Source organism: Homo sapiens, chromosome 8 (assembly GCF_000001405.40).
Source record: "Homo sapiens chromosome 8, GRCh38.p14 Primary Assembly".
Lineage (NCBI taxonomy): Eukaryota > Metazoa > Chordata > Mammalia > Primates > Hominidae > Homo > Homo sapiens.
The window spans coordinates 12,444,746-12,464,511 of NC_000008.11; the positions used below are offsets into that span (position 1 = coordinate 12,444,746).

At 45.0% G+C, this 19,766-nt stretch overlaps 1 long non-coding RNA gene and 1 pseudogene across 2 annotated transcripts in view, besides 1 other annotated feature; one reads left to right on the forward strand and one right to left on the reverse strand.

Moving 5' to 3' along the window:
- FAM86B2-DT (FAM86B2 divergent transcript) overlaps positions 1–19,766 on the forward strand; it is a 129,833-nt gene that overhangs the window by 7,733 nt on the left and 102,334 nt on the right. For both annotated transcript variants that reach the window (NR_040092.1, NR_040091.1), the window contains exon 4: positions 11–149. This is a non-coding gene — a long non-coding RNA (FAM86B2 divergent transcript). The remainder of the gene's footprint in view (positions 1–10; positions 150–19,766) is intronic.
- Positions 613–1,215: an enhancer, noted in NCBI's record as "H3K27ac-H3K4me1 hESC enhancer chr8:12302867-12303469 (GRCh37/hg19 assembly coordinates)". NCBI's record gives its function as "activates a minimal SCP1, AML or CMV promoter by ChIP-STARR-seq in primed H9 embryonic stem cells {active_cell/tissue: H9 hESC(primed)}" and the evidence as "EXISTENCE:reporter gene assay evidence [ECO:0000049][PMID:30033119]".
- ENPP7P6 (ectonucleotide pyrophosphatase/phosphodiesterase 7 pseudogene 6) overlaps positions 3,268–19,766 on the reverse strand; it is a 63,266-nt pseudogene continuing 46,767 nt past the window's right edge.

The following is a 19,766-nucleotide window of genomic DNA, read 5'->3' on the forward strand; positions in this document are numbered from 1 at the left end:
TTTTTTAAAGATAGGGTCTCTCTCTCTGCCACCCAGGCCAGAGTGCAGTTGACGCAGGGCAGGGGAGCCCCGAAGTGGAGCATAGTGTGTCCGGAACTGGTGGGTTCTTGGTCTCACTGACTTCAAGAAAGAAGCCGCGGACCCTCGCGGTGAGTGTCACAGTTCTTAAAGGCTGCGTGTCCAGAGTTTGTTCCTTCTGATGCTCGGATGTGTTCAGAGTTTCTTCCTTCTGGTGGTTTTGTGGTCTCGCTGGCTTCAGGAGTGAAGCTGCAGACCTTCAAGGTGAGTGTTACAACTCTTAAGGTGGGGCGTCTGGAGTTGTTTGTTCCTCCCGGTGGGTTCATAGTCTCGCTGGCTTCAGGAGTGAAGCTGCAGACCTTCGAGGTGAGTGTTACAGCTCATAAAGGCAGTGTGGACCCAAAGAGTGAGCAGCAGCAAGATTTATTGCAAAGAGCAAAAGAACAAAGCTTCCACAGTGTGGAAACGGACCCCAATGGGTTGCCACTGCTGGCTGGGGCAGCCTGCTTTTACTCCCTTCTCTGGCCCCACCCACATCCTGCTGATTGGTCCATTTTACAGTGAGCCTATTGGTCTGTTTTGACAGGGTGCTGATTGGTACATTTACAATCCCTGAGCTAGACACAAAAGGTCACCAAATCCCTACTAGATTAGCTAGATACAGAGTGTCGACTGGTGCATTCACAAACCCTGAGCTAGACACAGGGTGCTGATTGGTGTGTTTACAAACCTTGAGCTAGATACAGAGTGACAATTTGTGTATTTACAATCCCTTAGCTAGACATAAAGGTTCTCAAAGTCCCCACCAGACTCAGGAGCCCAGCTGGCTTCAGCAAGTGGGTCCCACATGGGGGCCGCAGGTGAGCTGCCTGCCAGTCCCGTGCCCTGTGCTGGCACTCCTCAGCCCTTGTGTGGTCGAAGGGACTGGGTGCCCTGGAGCAGGGGGCTGTGGTCGTCGGGGAGGCTCGGTACTCATCGGGGAGGCTCAGGTCGCGCAGGAGCCCACGGCGGGTTGGGTGGAGTCTCAGGCATGGCGGGCTGCATGTCCCGAGCCCTGCCCTGCAGGGAAGCAGCTAAGGCCCAGTGAGAAATTGAGCAAAGCAGCTGCTGGCCCAGGTGCTAAGCCCCTCACTGCCCGGGTCCATCGGGGCCGGTGAGCCACTCCGAGTGCAGGGCCCAGTGGGCCCATACCCACCCGGAACTCGCACTGGCCCACAAGCGCCGTGCCCAGTCCAAGTTCCTGCCCGCGCCTCTCCCTCTACACCTCCCCGCAAACTGAGGGAGCCGGCTCCAGCCTCCACCAGCCCAGGAAGGGGCTCCCACAGTGCAGCGGTGCACTGAAGGGCTCCTCAAGTGCCACCAAAGTGGGAGCCCAGGCAGAGGAGGCGCCGAGAGTGAGCGCGAGGGCTGCTAGCATGCTGTCACCTCTCAATAGCACTTGAGGGTTCTTGTCTTTACCCAGGAAAGAATTCAAGGGCAAGCCGGAGGTTTAGAAGAAAACAGCTTTATTGAAGAGGCAGCATTACAGCCCTGTGACTGCTCCTGTAGGGCAGGGCTACCCTGGTGGCAGAGAGTAGCGGCAGAGAGTTTGCAATCACATTTATACTCACTTTTAATTGCATGCAGATTAAAGGGCAGTTTATGCAGGAATTTCTAGAAAATGGGTAGTAACTTTTGAGTCATTGGGTCATTGCCATGGAAAGGGGCAGTAACTCCCTGGTGTTGCCTTGGCAATAGTAAACTCACATGGCACACTGGTGGGCATGTCTGATGGAAAGCTTCTTCTGCCCCAGCCCTGTTTTAGGTAGTCCTTAATTTGGTCTGGTGTCCAAGCCCTGCCTGTGTCGTCAAGTCCTGCCTCCTATCTCACAGTGGCGTGATCATGGCTCACTGCAGACTCAACACCCCCGGGCTCGAGCAGTTCTCCCACCTCAGCCTCCTGAGTTGCTGGGACCACAGGCACGTGCCACTACGCCCAGCTACATTTTTTGCATTTTTCGTAGAGATGGTGTTTCACTGTGTTGCCTAGGCTGGTCTCAAACTCCTGGGCTCAAGCAATGTACCAACGTTAGCCTTCTAAAGTGCTGGGATTACAGGTGTGAGCCACTGCACCCAGCCCAACCTTACATTTTTAATCTCAAGTCACTTCTCTCTACGTTTTGATTTCTTCTTTAAAATGGCGGAACTAAGAGCATCTATTTTATAGGGTTGTTGGGACGACAAAAATGAAAGAACTGCTGTTCAATGTTTAGTGAAGCGCTGTGCACAGTTTTGAATAATGAAGTTGGTGTTTATTTTTTATTATTTGTTTATTTATTTTTTAGAGACGGGGTCTTGCTCTGTTGCTCAAGCTGGAGTGCAGTAGTGCAATCACAGCTTAGTGCAGGATTGACCTCCTGGGTTCAAGAAATCCTGCCACCTCAGCCTCCTGAGTAGCTGGGACTACAGGCATGCATCGCCATGTCTGGCTATTTATTTATTTGTTAGTTTTTTGTAGAGATGACGTCTCCCTTTGTTGCTTGGGCTGGTCTTGAACTCCTGGCCTTAAGCAATCCTCCTGTCTTGGCCTCCCAAAACACTGAGATTACAGGTGTGAACCACCATGGCCAGCCTTATTTTTATTTTTAAATCAGCCTTATCAAGTTGAATTGGTCATTAATCTTGTATAACGGTAACTTGGCGCAGCATTGGTTGGGCGGGGGGTGGGGAACCTTTAGGACCCTGTGGGCTACAACTCATAGTGTGTGCACTTATTTTATTTTGTTTTGTTTTGTTATGTTATGTTATGTTATGTTATGTTATGTTATGTTATGTTATGTTATGTTATGTTATATTATATTATATTATATTATATTATATTATATTATATTTTTTTGAGATAGGGTCTCACTCTATTGCCCAGACTGGAGTGCAGTAGCATGATCTTGGCTCACTGCAACCTCTGCCTCCCAGGTTCAAGCGATTCTCCTGCCTCAGCCTCCAGAGCAGCTGGAACTACAGATGCGCGCCACCACGCCCGGCTAATTTTTGTATTTTTAGTAGAGCTGGGGTGTCACCATGTTGGCCAGGCTGGTCTCAAACTCCTGACCTCAGGTTATACACTTGCCTCAGCCTCCCAAAGTGCTAGGATTATAGGCGTGAACCACCGTGCCTGGCTGTGCACTAATGTTTGATTTTTGCAGAACCACCCTTCCCTAATGGTTGTCTCCTAGATCTAAGGTGACTTTATTCATTTTAGAATGAACTTACCCCATTGATACTGTAACCAGAGTTGGCATACATCACGATTGGCAGAACCCGGTCATGTTTAGCGATATGGAAGTGTTCTGGAAACTCCTCCTTCTTGTAGACGTGGAGGTGACGGTGCGCATTCTTCAGTGCCTGGTAAAGGGCTTCCTCTTGCCCCAACTTGGGCAGGGGCATCCCAAAGCCACCGTAGCGCACAATATCAAACTTGACCAGGTCCCTGAACTTGACGTAGTTGGACAAGGGGATCTTGTTGACATTGGGTCTCTTCTTTACGGTGGTCATCCCACGGTCTCATGTAGTGATGACGCTGAGGTGCTCTGCAGGCTGTGCTTCTCAGTGGCTCCCACCAGATACCCGATGGTCCTGTCGATTTGCTGAATCATCAACTTCCTTTTCTCTGCCTCTGGCCCGAATCGATGTCCCACGTTATCTGGCTCTCTGTAGCACAGAGTCACAAAATCAAAGTCTTCCTTGGTGAACCAGTTCATGACGATATCGATGTTCTCCTTCCGCTCTGTCTCGTTGCTGCTTGGGTGAGTGTAGGAATCCACCAGGGACCACTTGACAGCCTCACCCTCATATTTAGCACCTCCCCTGGAATAGTGGAATGATGCCGCTCTGTTCCCCTGTAAGTACAAGAAGAAAATTCCATCAGGGCCATTTGTCATACCTTTCTCACAATCAGCAAAGCTCGAGTTGTCTACATCTGTGCCCCTGTCCAAAGGTGTAGGAAATATGTGGTCTTTGGAGTCAGACAGGGTGGAGTTAGATTCTGGGCTTCCCCAGGATCTCATAGCATCTACAACACTGTTAGTTACAAGATGTACTATTATTTTATGGGCTACTGAGCAGAAAAATGCTGTCAATGAGACCGTGACATTCCAGTGATTGTAAGGTGTATTACAACTACAGAGATGGCAATATGAAAAATAGTTCCTTAGAATAGAAGGAGACGGTAATTTCTGAGTTGGTGGGGGTGAATTTGTGCATGTGTGTTTTTATATATATACACATATATATATACACACATATATATACACATATGTACATGTATATATGTGTACATATACTCACATACATATATACATACACATGTATATGTGTGTGTACACACACATATATACATACACATGTATATGTGTGTGTATACACACGCATACATACACATGTATATGTGTGTGTGTACACACGCATATATACATACACATGTATATGTGTGTGTGTACACACGCATATATACATATGTATATGTGTGTGTACACACGCATATATACATACACATGTATATGTGTGTGTACACACGCATATATACATACACATGTATATGTGTGTGTACACACGCATATATACATACACATGTATATGTGTGTGTACACACGCATATATACATACACATGTATATGTGTGTGTACACACGCATATATACATACACATGTATATGTGTGTGTGTACACACGCATATATACATACACATGTATATGTGTGTGTGTACACACGCATATATACATACACATGTATATGTGTGTGTGTACACACGCATATATACATACACATGTATATGTGTGTGTACACACGCATATATACATACACATGTATATGTGTGTGTGTACACACGCATATATACATACACATGTATATGTGTGTGTGTACACACGCATATATACATACACATGTATATGTGTGTGTGTACACACGCATATATACATACACATGTATATGTGTGTGTGTACACACGCATATATACATACACATGTATATGTGTGTGTGTGTACACACGCATATATACATACACAAGTATATGTGTGTGTGTGTACACACGCATATATACATACACATGTATATGTGTGTGTGTACACCTACACATATATGTATACATTGTGGTGCAGGGGTACAATCATAGCTCATTGCACCCTTGAACTTCGGGGCTTAAGTGATCCTGCTACCTCAGCCTCTTGAGCAGCTGGGGCAACAGGCATGTGACACCACACCAATATTTTTTTTTGTTGTTTTTGAGACACGGTCTCACTCTGTCACTTAGGTTGGAGTGCAGTGGCACAATCTCAGCTCACTGCAACCTCTGACTCCTAGGTTCAAGCAATTCTCGTGCCTCAGCCTCCCAAGTAGCTGGGATTATAGACATGTGCCACTATGCCCAGCTAAGTTTTGTATTTTTAGTTGAGATAGAGTTGTGTCGTGTTGGCCAGGCTGGTTTCGAATCCCTGGGCTGAAGTGATCCACTTGCCTTGGCCTCCCAAAGTGCTGGGATTACATGTGTGAGCCACCGCGCCTAGCCCTAATTTTTTTTTTTTTTTTAATATTTGTAGAGATGAGGTCTCGCTAATTTGCCCAGGCTGGTCCTGAACTCTTGGGTTCAAGTAATTCTCCTGCCTCAGCCTCTCAAAGTGCTGGGATTACAGGCATGAGACACCGTTCCCGGCTGGTGGTGAGTTTCTCAGCGTCTCAGTGTTTCTACATCTAGAATGCCAAAAAGTAGATGGCATCTTTGTGAGGATTAAGCAGGCTAGCTTTTTATTTTTTTATTTTTATTTTTATTTTTTTTGGAAACAGAATTTCTCTCTTATCACCCATGCTGGAGCGCACTGGCGTGATCTTGGCTCACTGAAACCTCCGCCTCCTGGATTCAAGTGGTTCTCCTGCTTCAGCCTTCCAAGTAGCAGGGATTACAAAGCCAGCTAGCTTTAAGATACGGTGTTGGGCATCACGTTTTGGCATGGAGCAGGCAGTCTTTTCTTTGCCCCCAGGTGGGACTAAGCCACCACAAGCCTTCCCTGGTGTGTGCAGTGGGTGATGAATGCTTGCCTGCTCAGCACCCACTTCCTGGTGGGCTGGGTCACATTACTATGACTCCCCCTTGAGCTTCAGTCCGCGCCTGGTTGGAGATTATTGACTCAACCCGGGGATCCAGAGGTGGGATGTAGCTCTGGCCTGGCCAGAGGACCGAGGATGCTGCATGCCATGGCTACAGCTACTGGTTCAGCTTTGGGCTCATGTCCTAGTCAGAGCCAATGAGATGTAATCTTGGGATATCTGCTGGGCTGTTGGGAAGGGGACAGGCTGCCCTGCACATCCCCATTCCTGATGCTGAGGGATCTGAGAAAATCACTTGTAAAATTTGGGGGTGTTTGGAAGAAGGGGAGATTGATGTCTCTTTCTCTCTACAGACATCTGATCAGCTACAGAGCTTGACTAACCTACCCAGAGGCAGAATGATATGGTGGTTAAAAGTGTGCTCTGGGCCGAGATTTTGCCACTGCACTTCAGCCTGGGTGACAGAGTGAGACTCCATCTCAAAAAAAAAAAAAAAAAAAAAAAAATCTGCTCTGGGCTGGACGCGGGGGCTCACAACTGTAATATCAGCACTTTGGGAGGCTGAGGCAGGAAGATCGCTTGAAGTCAGGAGTTTGGAATCAGACCCTATCTCTAGAAAAATGTTTTTTAAAAATTAGCTGGGTTGGTGGTGAATGCCTCTAGTCCCAGCTACTCGGGAGGCTGAGGCGGGAAGACTGCTGGAGCTTGGGAGTTCAAGCCTGCACTGAGCTATGATCAGGCCACTGCACTCCAATTTGAGGGACAGAGAGAGACCCCATCTCTCTGAACAACAAAAATGTGTGCTCTGGTGCCACACGGCCTGGTTAGATCCTTTGTCCACCACTTAGATGCATGTTATATAAATGTTCTCCTCAGTTTCCTCGTCTGTAACTTGGGGATGGTTATGCTGCCCCAAGAAGTGGTTATGGGGACTAAATGCATGTGGGCATATTGGTTAGTATTCAACCAGCTTGATTTTTCCTGGAGAGGGAGAAAGAGCATGCAGTGAGGTGGCATGGTCAGGTGCATTGGGACAAGGATTATTTCCTCTGGCTTCTGCCTCCTGGGAGGTATAAGGAGGGATCTGAAATCTGTCTGCAGACCCCAGAGTTGGGGACTGCAGAGGGAAATTGAGATCAGGGACTGTAGTCTGGCAGAAATGAGTGCTGCATGGGGCATTGGGTTCCTTCCATCAGAGGCATGGGGTGTGTTGCAGACAGTCATGAAATGTGGCTGAATCTTGCAAGGGACCCTCGGTCCTATGGTTGCTGCTTGAGACAAAGACCCCTGTCAGTGGAACCTGGTGACATTCACCCTTCTGTGTCAGGCTGCAGACAGCAGGAGATGGCAGCAGATTACACCCAACAGGAAAAGGGCCATTGCCACCCCACAGGTTGCCATAGAAGGAGATGACATCTCTCCCTCTCCTCCTCCAGCAGTGTCAGCTGGGGAAGTGGTGGGTGGATGTGCACAAAAGAGTAGACCACAGAGCATGCTCCTTCTCCTCCGGTCTGCTGGGGCCCCAAGAGAGTCTGCAGCCCTTGGCCAAGGACCGGCTGACACAGGAGAACAAAAGACCTTAGGCTGGGATAACATGGTGGTGCAGTTCATCCTCTGGAGCTCCCTGTGAGATCAGACTGGAGCCAGTCTCCAGCTGAGACCACATCTCACTTAGCTCCTTTCCTGCCATATCCTGTTTTCCTTACTCCTATCTCCTGAGACTTCTTCCTGAATGAATTACATGCACTCAATCCCTGCCTCAGTCTCTGCTTTTAGGGAACTTGACCTAAGACAGAAATCTTAGTACTAAATACTTTGCAAGGCCTCAGAAGCTCTGCTATCCACAAGCAGGTGAGATATTACCTTCCCTACCACCTGGCAGTCATAGTCTATGATGCGATTCAGCTTTATGGAAGTGCTTCTCTAAAGAACTTCCCCCAATTTAAGACGATCTTAATTTGCTTACTTGTTTACTGTCCATTTAGCTGCTCTAAAATGTGAGCTCCAAATCAGGGGCCGTGTCTGGTTGGTTACTCATTTCCTGAGACCTGGAATGGGCCTAGCTCAGAGCAGGTGCTCACTATTGATGGAATGCATGTTGAAAGAATGCATGAATCTCATGTCTTTTTGTGGGTGAAAAACTCATCCTATTCTCACCCTGATTAACTTTCTTTCTTTCTTTATTTTTTTTTTTTTTCAAAATGGAGCCATGATCTGTCACCCAGGCTGGAGTGCAATGGTGTGATCTCAGCTAGCTGAAACCTCTGCCTTCTGGATTAAACCAATTCTCCTGCCTCAGCCTCCTGGGTAGCTGGGATTACAGGTGTATACCACAACGCCCGGCTAATTTTTTGTATTTTTAATAGAGACAGTGTTTCACCATGTTGGCCAGGCTGGTCTCGAACTCCTGACCTCGTGATCTGCCCTCTTTGGCCTCCCAAAGTCCTGGGATTACAGGCATGAGCCACCATACCCAGCCACTCTTGATTAACTTAATGGAAATATTTACAGAGATTCTTTCTCTTCTGGGTTCTAACGTCTTATCTGTAACCTCTGCAGGTAATACATTTTCCTTCCTGATGATAGCATTTCTATGGTTGCTTTCACTTGCAAATCCTCTAATGCTTATTTATTCCATTTCTGATTGGCATTAGACATAATTCTCAATTTTTAGTGACAGCACTTCTTTTAACTTACATATAAATCGACTTTGTCTTGAAATGTGACATTGACTAGAAGGATGAAACTTCTAACATGCTGTAGAACATAGTTTGACTGGCTAATTTATTATTTAGAAGAAGCTAATATTGCCATTATGAGGGACTTAGGTGACTCTGAAGAACCAGTTTCATTTGTAATATTTGCAATGTTAAATCACAGACATTGCCAACGTGAAATAGTTTCCATATGCTGTGTTCTCAATACACACCTTTTCCAAAGATATCCCAAGCTGTAGTCTTAGAAGACTGTGATTTTTCTTATTTGTTCTCACAGGAATTTGGGGAGCTATGCTGGATCTCCATAAAATGAGCTCCAGAAAGACACGTGTGCACACACACACACTCACACATGTACCACACCGCACTTGACTCTGTTTATTTGGGACCCATGATTATCAGAAGTGCTATTTTTAACAAATACTTCTGAGAAATAATCTGAACACTTAATTGGATGCAAAAGAGTGGCTATTTACTATTCTACCCTTTAATTAGCATAATCAGTGTTTCCAGCAGCAAAGGCAATTGGAAAATCGCTTGTTTTGTTAGGTTCATTATTCTCCCTTAGCATAGTGTGGCATCAGCATGGCTATTATTCTTAAATTGCCTCTTTAAAACAAGAGCTGGTGCTTCTTACAGGCAATTCCTAACTCTTGGGTTTTGTAGAGGGTCCAAAACTCTTTAGAACCTATAATTCAAGGAAAGGCTCCACTTTGGTTTTACATTTTGTCTGGTCTCTTTGGGTGACAGAATTTATGTCACAAGGTGCACATGTTTTGGGGAGGCTCATGGACAGCCCATCGCTCTTGTGCTTTGGTAGGAAATATGTGCAGTTATGGGGAAGGAGTTAGTTACTCATCTAGGGAACAATTGGGTAGAAAGAGATGGACTCCCTGTATTTGAAATTCAGAACTCAAGCTTGGCTCTAAGTGTTTCCTTGCTTTGCTGTGCTCCACGGGAGTCACTGAGCAGAAGGAAGCGAGTTGCCTGAGATTCCTCAAAGCCCGCAGCCCTTTTGGAGGTTACATTGTTATTCTCAGAGCCTTTATGATACATAATAAAGACCTAGCTTGGACCAACATTAGGATGAGTTATCTTGCTATTAACATTCTTTCAGGTAGAAGTTGCTTTTAGGTAGAAGTTGGTCCCATCTTGCTCACAATCCTCCAAAGCTTGGAAGTTACTTTCCAGGAGACTTAGCTTGCACTGAGAGCCGCCCTCCCACCCTCTCTCCAAATTTCCTCTTGGGAGTAGCCTAACAAGGTGCTGTCACAGGCCCTTGCCAGCCACGATGACCCCACCCAGACCATCCCTCTGCTGTTTCACTCTTTGATATTCTCTGGAGCTCTCTGGGGAGCGGTGAGACCTGCTGTCTGGTTTGTACGGTTTGCCCAGGTCTTACAGTCATGGCTGGCTGCCTCTCTCTGAGAACTGGGACTCCTGAACTTGGTGAAATACCTCAGCCATTGATCGTGTTAAATTATCGGTGACACTCATTTAAAATCCGAGTCTGCTCCAGATGGACTCTCTCTCTTTCTGCCCTGACTATGAGAGAGAGAGATCGTGAGAGACAGAGACCATGAGAAAGACCGTGAGAGAGAGACACAGAGCTAGAGAGAGAGACCGTGCCCTGACCTGCTGGACAGTGGAGATGCTTGTGGGCTGTGAGCAAGGGATGCAAAGGCTGCCGGGAATCCCATTTTTCCAGCATCATCTGCCAAGGCACATCAGTTCCTGGGTGTCTTGATGGGTTCTGGCAGCATTACTGTCATTGAAGGAAAACATTTTAGCCATATTAAAGGTGAATGCAGCAAGCTCCACACAGGCTGCCTGGAAGGGACGCGGGACAAGGGTAGGTTTTCCCTGTGATGGACAGGAGACAGGCGGCCCTCCCACAGCCCTGCCTGGCAAAGCAGATGTGTCCCCAAAAGGCACTGGGGGCAGCTGGAGTGCTGTGCGGAGGCGGGCTCACCCGGGCCCTGGGTTCGCTCTGATTGCAGCGGTTTCCCGCCAGCTCCTTGGAGAGCTGGCAGATGACCCAGCCCCACAGCAGGAGCTGTGAATGGCAGAACGAGATACAACAATTTGATATCCACTTGCCAGATGAGCCGGGTGTCGTCAGTCGCCTGGCTCTGCGCCAACCTCTTTTTGCACAAACACTTATGAATTCAGCCAGGAGGAAAAGCACTCTGATTATGAATTGAGCAGAAGGAAACAAAGTTCTGCGAATAAACACCAATGAGACAAAAAAAGACGAATAAGAAAAATGACAGAAAAGGAGAACCTTCCCAGAAGCCTCCTGCCAGTGAACAGCCACCGTAGCAAGAGCTTGGAGGCCCTGGGTTTTGAACTGTGAGATAAGGAAGATGATGAAAACCTCCCTAGCAGCCAGGCAAGCACAAGATTCCTGTAAAATCCAGGTCTAAGTGTTTTAACCACAGAAGTAATATTATGTCATAGGTGAGAGCTGTGAGTTGCTGAACCCAAAGTGAGTTCAAATCCGAGCTCTGCCTCCTGCTACCTGTGTGACTTTGAGAAGTTCCAGCACTGCTTTGTGCCTCAGTTTTGTCATCTGTTAAATGGGCATAATCACAGCTTGTGCCTCAGAGTTGTTGTAAATTAATACATGTAAAGCACTGAAATCAGCCTGGTATACAGTAAGTGTTATGAACGTTATTTTCTTGGAAGGACAGAACTTATTTTCATGGTCTAAGCCTGAAAGTCTAAAAAATGTGAGAGAAGAGGAAAGAATCTAGAGTCTCACCATGAGGGAGAAAAGTCAACTTGAAGCAGGACAGGGTCATTGACAATTTCCTGTGATTCTACAGCTGCCTTGTACACTATGGTAGCTCCTATCCACTTACTGTTTAGATTTTGTGATTTAGAAATGAATTAAGGGCAGGCATGGTGGCACACCTGTAATGCCAGCATTTTGGGAGGCCAAGTTGGGCAGATCACCTGAGGTCAGGCGTTCAAGATCAGCCTGGCCAACATGGTGAAATCTCGTATCTACAAAAATACAAAAATTAGCCGGGCATGATGGCGGGTTCCTGTAATCCTGGCTACTCAAGAGGCTGAGGCAGGAGAATTGCTTGAACCTGGGAGATGGAAGTTGCAGTGAGATGAGATTGCACCACTGCACTCCAGCCTGGAGGATAGAGTGAGACTCTGTCTGAAAAAAAAAAAAAAAAAAATTAAGAGAAAATTGAAAATTCAGTTCTTCATTCTCACCAGCCACATTTCAAGGGCTCAACAGCCCATGTGGGCGGCTAGCACCTCCCATGTTGGACAGTGCAGAGTAGAGCAAGCCCACCATTGCAGAATGTTTGATTGGACCATGACTGAATAGTCTATTGCAGTGGTCCCCAATTTTTTTTTAGCACCAAGGACCAGTTTCCGTGTACTTGTTGGGGGAAGTTTCAGGATGATTCAAGTACATTACATTTATTGTGTACTTTATTTCTATTGTTATGAACATTATAATATATAATGAAATCATTATACCACTCACCATAATGTAGAATCAGTGAGAGCCCTGAGCTTGTTTTCCTGCAACTAGATAATCCCATCTTCGGGTGGTGGGAGACAGTGACAGATCATCAGGCATTAGATTCTCATAAGGAGCACACAACCTAGATCCCTTCCACATGCAGATCACAATAGGGTTGGTGCTCCTATCAGAATCTAATGCCACTGCTGATCTGACAGGAGACAGAGCTCAGGCGGTAACGCTAGCCATGGGGAGCAGCTGTAAATACAGATGAAGCTTCACTCATTAGCTCACTGCTCACCTCCTTCTGTGCAGCCCAGTTCCTAACAGGCCACAGACCGCTACTGGTCTGTGGTCTGGGGGATGGGGACCTCTGGTCTATTGGATAACACTAGCTTTGAGGGTACTGATCAGCCAAAGAAGCACTGAGATGATTTGTCCTCCATTAATAAGAATGATGGACTTTTTTTTTTTTTGAGACAGAGTTTTGCTCTTGTTGCCCATGCTGGAGTGCCTTGGCACCATCTCGGCTCACTGCAACCTCTGCCTCCCAGGTTCAAGAGATTCTCATGCCTCAGCCTCCCAAGTAGTTGAGATTACAGGTGCCTGCCACCATGCCTGGCTAATTTTTGTATTTTTAGTAGAGTCGGGGTTTTGCCATGTTGACCAGGCTGGTCTTGAATTCCTGACCTAAGTGATCCACCTGCCTCAGTCTCCCGAAGTGCTGGGATTACAGGCGTGAGACACCGTGCCTGGCCAGATGGACTTTTTTGGAGCATTTAGTTCCAAGCACCTTCCCTGCATTTTCTCAGTTAATCCTCCCAGTGACTCTTTGAAGCAGGGACTATGACAATCGTCATTTCACAGATGGAGCAACTGAGGCACAGAGAGGAAGTCAATGGCCACGGTCGCCCAGCTGAGGAAGGATGGAGCCGGCTGAGATCCTGTTCTGGGGATCTAACTCTGCAGCCTGCATTCTGGGCTGCTGTATTCTCCCTTGTTGCTATCTGACGAGCACAGCATGGGCTCAGAGTACAGACAGGAGGAACCAGCTAATAAGGAGAGGTCTAGGGTGAAGGCTGGTGCCTTGGGGAAGAAGAGAGAGGTCTCATTCTAAAGGGATGGCATTGGAAGTTCATAGTGATAAAGCAAAGCCAACAGGTTTTGGGGCTGAGAGTTAAACACACAGCTCTGGTTTCTGCCTTTTCACAGTGGTGATGAAAGAGCACTGAGAGCCTCTCGAGCTAAAGTTGTCATCATTGCTCTTCATAGTCTGAAGGTGCATGAAATGGTCAACTTTCTTCCAAAGGGCTTTTATGCCTAAGTCTGTGGTTAGTGTATAAACAGATATTTACTGAAGTCCTGCTGGGTGCAGACACTGTGGCCAGCCCTGAGGCTACAGTCAAGATGAAGCCAGTCTCTGTCCTCATGGAGACCTGTCTATTGATAAGAAAAGAGAAAGCTCACTGAGCATTGACCCTGTGCCCACTGCTTTTGATGCATCTCTCATTTAATCCTTCTATCAAATCTGTGAAATAAACACATCACCATCATCCTATTTCACATTTAGGGAAACATATGCTTAGAGAGGGTAAGTAACTTGGTCAAGGTCACACAGCTTCGATCTCTCATCCCACAGGCGCAGGAATGGGAGGCAGCAGCTGGGGAAGCCAGGGTCTCTGGCAGTCCTTGTCTCTGGGCAGTGATCCAGAGAGAGAGAGAACACGATTGTCTCAGCACTGGGTCTTCTTCTGAGTCGTCTTGAAGGAGCAATTCCAGAGCATCTCGGTGTTAAACATCATGTTGTGAATGACTCAGTGATCTCTGACCCAGAGACCTTGGGGATAAAGGAGGGGAGGTACGGAGAACCCCTTTGAATGGATGTTACCGGGGTGTCAGTGTTCTTTGAGGCCACAGGCCATGTGTCACCAAATTGAAGGGGTGGCCTGCCCCTCCACACCTGTGGGTATTTCTAGTCGGGTGGGATGAGAGACGGAGAAAAGAAATAAGACACAGAGACAAAGTACAGGGAAACAACAGTGGGTCCAGGGGACCGGCACTCAGCACACCAGGATTTGTACGTGCACTGGCCTCTGAGTTCCCTCAGTTTTTATTGATTATGATTTTCATTATTTCAGCAAAAAGGAATGTAATAGGAGAGCAGGGTGATAATAAGGAGAAGGTCAACAAAAAACATGTGAGCAAAAGAATCTATATCATAATTAAGTTCAAGGGAAGGTACTATGACTGGACTTGCACGTAGGCCAGATTTATGTTTCTCTCCACCCAAACATCTCAGTGGAGTAAAGAATAACAAGGCAGCGTTACTGCAACATGTCTCGCCTCCCGCCACAGGGCAGCTTTTCTCCTAGCTCAGACTTGAACAAATGTACAATCGGGTTTACACCGAGACATTCAGTTCCCAGGGGCAAGCAGGAGATAGTGGCCTTCCTCCATCTCAACTACAAGAGGCTTTCCTCTTTTCCTAATCCGCCTCAGCACAGACCCTTTACGGGTGTCAGGCTGGGGGACAGTCAGGTCTTTCTCATCCCACGAGGCCATATTTCAGACTATCACATGGGGAGAAACCTTGGGCAATACCCTGCTTTCAAGGGCAGGGCTCCCTGCGGCTTTCCACGGTGCATTGTTCCCGTGGTTTATTGTGACTAGAGAATGGCAATGACTTTTACCAAGTATACTGCTTGTAAATATTTGGTTAACAAGGCACGTCCTGCACAGCCCTAGATCCCTCAAACCTTGATTTTATACAACACATGTTTTTGTGAACTCCAAGTTGGGGCAAAGTGACTGGGGCAAAGTGGCTGGGGCAAAGCTACAAATGAACAACATCTCAGCAAAGCAATTGTTAGAGTACAGGTCTTTTTCAAAATGGAGTCTCTTATGTCTTCCCTTTCTACATAGACACAGTGACAGTCTGATCTCTCTCTTTTCCCTACATTTCCCGCTTTTCTTTTTGACAAAACCGCCATGGTCATCATGGCCCCTTCTCGCTGGTCGCTGTCTCTCCGGAGCTGCTGGATACACCTGTAGACTAACAATAGAGAGGACAGACATACAAGAATTAATACAAAATTTGCAATAGTGGAATTTCCAATGGTTTTAACCCAAGTGACAGGGTTAAGATTTGTGAGGCTATCAACAGCTTTTACCATTGCCTCCGTTTCTGACACCAGATTTAACTGGGCTTTTGATGTTTCAAAAATTTGTTCTTTCAATTTAGAAATATCTGAGGTAAGATTATCTTATCTTCCTTGTAGATGGCGTCTAACCATGTCCCAGTGCTGTTCAGATTCATTATAGGCTCGAGGTGTAATAGAAAAATCTGACATATTCCAGTCACACTGTAACTGAAAAAGATATTCTAAGCTCATGAGCCTATCTCCCATCCAAATAACAGTTTGTCTAAGATCATTAATTTGATTTGCCAATTTTTGACCTGTTTGAGTCTAAGAATTCCTCAATTTTGAGGAATTCTTTTGCCAATTATTCACATATTCTGCAGTTTGAACAGAGGAGTGTAAAGCAATTCCAGCAGCCGCAGCAGTAGCTGTGACTGCAATAAGACCCATAATCACTGCAATCAAAGTAAAAATGAATCTTTTAAATCTAATTAGAACTCCTTTTAATACTTAAGGTATGTACGGATGGAGAAGCCTCCCACGGTCGATCCATGGACACAGGGATCCACACGCCTTCTCTTGCCCTTACTAACAGAATAGCATTCTGCCAATCAAAAGTTGAATCAATGCAAGTAAACAATCTACAATTTTCACTGGTTGTAGTTTGGGAATCTGGTTTAATAGCTATGTTTTCTACAACTAGCATATAAGGGGGTTTTACACAACTTTGCAAAGGAATTTTCAGATTGGAATTTAGGTTAATAGTTAATATGGCTTATGATTTCTTGTTCCCATAACTTGATTTCCAGACCAAATTCTAATGTGGTACGAGGCCACAGTGAGCTTCCATAATTCTGGGTGTTCAGGACCAAAAACAGGACTAACTAAATTTGGTCGGGGTGATGAAATCCTCTTTTCACCCCATTTCCATGGATAGGGTGATTCTAGCCTTCTATAAACCTGGTCTAGCCTTTTAGTTAAATCACTATCACAGGCCGGATTAGTGGGCCAGACACATGGAGCCTGTGAACATGAGTGGGTCTGGCCCATACAGTCATAATATAATTGGCATTGAGGGGCCTAGTCTATAATAGTTTCAAATTTATTGTTTTGTAGTACCACTGCAGTATCAGCCACACATTCTTCCCAAACTAAGACTACTGGGTCTTTTGATTCTTTTGGAATTTCCCTGGGGCATGGTTTCCCTTTAGGCCTAAATTTTAATGATCTTTGATAGGAAGAATTCTGTAAATTATTCATTTGTGACCTGAGCGACATTCCTCTTATCATATGATAAGTAAATTTACTGGTGGCACTGACAGTAGGTACTTCTATCAACCAAGTTTGGATTGTAGGCATTAAGCATCCTGGTGCTTTTCCCAGGCAAATAGGAGGATAATGATACCCAATGGAAATGTTTATCATCATTCCTTTTTCTTCAGGTTGGGCAGGGCCACGGTCATCTGTGGGGCCTGGTACCCATGCACTGTTATTAACATATACTTCAATAGGATTATCTATCCAAGTGACTGCTCGAATTAAGGGTGGGAAAATCACATAGGCCCAGTAAGTATAGTTAGCTGTAGCGGCTCCTGAAGACATAGGGAGACTTACCACCGTTGATACAATCATTAAATCTGCAAGTAGCATATTCTCTGGAGTTTGTGTTACCCTTGTGTTTTCCAGGCTTTTTTCAGCTAACTGTGTCAGCTTCTTTAGCTGGGCCCAGGTCGGCGGCCCCACTTTCTTGGTGGATGGCAACTTCATCTGTTCTTCTGATATCACCATTTCGTTCACCCTGCGAGTCGATGATGTTCGATTGCGGGTTCTCTGTCTCTGCGGAGGTGCCTTCCCTTGCACCTCTGATGGGTTCATTGTAGAACTTCAAATGTCTAGTGGGTACCCAAAGAGGAAGCTGATTTTCTGCTGTTGGAACACAAGCAAAACCTCACCCCCATGTTATCACCTTACCTATTTCCCATGTTTTATTTTTGTTGTCTTTCCACCAAATCAGTTTTCCCTCATGTGGGCTGTTCTTTTTACCAGTAAAATGTTGTTCTGCAGAAGTAGTGGTCTGATTTCTATATATATTTAAAAAATTTAAAGTATAGAGTGCTAGATTAAGTTGCATCTGGGGAGTATTATACTCCTTACTTTTTCCTTCTTTTGTTTAACCAATTGAGCTTAGAGTGTTCTATTAGTTCTTTCAATTATGGCCTGTCCTTGGAAATTAAGGATTCCTGTTGTATGTGTAATTTTCCACTGATTTAAGGATTTTTGAAATGCTTTACTACAGTATCCTGGCCCATTACCTGTTTCAATTTTTTCTGGAAATCCCATGACTGCAAAACAAGATAATAAATGTCTTTTAACATGGGAAGTACTTTCTCCTGTCTGGCAGGTTGCCCATATGAAATGTGAATAAGTATCAACTGTCACATGGACAAATGACAATTTTGCAAATGAAGGTACATGTGTGACGTCCATTTGCCATAATGCATCAGGACATAAACCTCTAGGATTAACTCCTGCCTCTTGAGCGGGCAGGTGTAAGACTTGACACTGAGCACAATGTTGTACAACATTTTTTGCTTGTTTCCATGTGATATCAAATTTGTTTTTTAATCCTGTTGCATTTACATGAGTCAGGGCCTGAAGTTCTTGTGCTTTCATGAAGGCAGATGATACTAGCAAGTCAGCTTGTTCATTTGCCTTAGTTAAAGGCCCTGGTAAATTAGTATGTGCTCGGATATGAGCAATATAAAATGGGAAATTTCTTTTTCTTACAGTTTGTTGTAACAATTTAAACAGCTGATTTAACTGATCATCCATACTATATTTGATTAGGGCTGTCTCAACATCTTTTGTAGCCTGTACTAAATATGCAAAATCTGAAACAATGTTAATAGGCTGATTAAAATCTTGTAACACTGAAATGACAGCAACCAATTCTGCTCTTTGAGCTGAGTGATATTGAGTTTCAATGACTTGTTCTTTTGGCCCAGTGTAAGCCACTTTTCCGTTGCTGGAACCATCAGTAAACACCGTCAGAGCATTTTCTAGAGGTTTTTGTCTGGTAATTTTAGGTAAAATCCAAGTAGTCAATTTCAAAAACTGGAAGATTTTTGCTTTTGGGTAATGATTATCAATAATTCCCACAAAATCAGCAAGACCAATCTGCCCTGCACCAGAATTGATAAAGACTTGTCTATCCTGTTCCTTGTTTAAAGAAACAATGATTTTATCTGGGTCATTTCCACACAATTTTACTATTCATAGTCTTGCCTGACCAATTAATGTAGCCATTTGATCTAAGTACAATGTAAAAGTCTTAACTGTACTGTGAGGAAGGAATGACAACTCCACAAGATCTGTATTTTGAACAATAATGCCTGTTGGAGAATGTGCAGTAGCAAAAATTAAAAGTTGGAGTGGGGCTAAGTGATCTATTCTATTTACTTTTGCTGACTGAAATTTTTCTTCAACTAATTCTATTTCTTTAGTTGCCTCTGGAGTTAATATTCTTTTACTATTTAAGTCTGGATCCCCTCTCAAGATAGAGAACAAATTTGACATGGCATAAGTAGGGATGCCTAGAGTTGGCCGAATCCAATTAATATCTCCTAGCAATTTTTGAAGTCATTTAATGTTCTTAATGTGTCTTTTCTTATTTCTACTTTTTGTGGTTTAATTTTTCTCTCCTCTACCTGCATTCCCAAATAATGAAAAGGAGTGGAGATCTGAATCTTATCAGATGCTATTGTCAGGCCTGCGTTTGCAACCTCTGTCTGCAGAAATGTGTAACAGTCAATTAATTTGTCTCTTGTTTCTGCAGCACACAAAATATCATCAACATAATGAATGATATAACAGTCTGAAAACTTGTCTCTAACTGGTTGAAGAACTTGAGCTACAAAAGTCTGACAAATAGTTGGACTATTAAGCATTCCCTGAGGCAACACTTTCCACTGAAATCTAGTGGCTGGTTCTTTATTATTTATGGCTGGTATAGTGAAAGCCAATTTTTCAAAATCCTGTTTTGCCAGAGGAATGGTAAAAAAGCAATACTTCAGATCAATTATAATTAAAGGCCAGTCTTTGGGGATCATGGCTGGAGAGGGCAGCCCAGGTTGGAGAGGCCCCATGGGTTGAATTACTGCATTAACGGCTCTTAAATCAGTTAGCATGCGTCATCTGCCTGATTTTTTCTGAATTACAAACACAGGAGAATTCCAAGGCGAAAATGAATGCTCAATATGTCCCTTTTCTAATTGTTATTTTGCCAATAAGTGTAAGGCCTCCAGCTTTTGTTTTGGTAGTGGC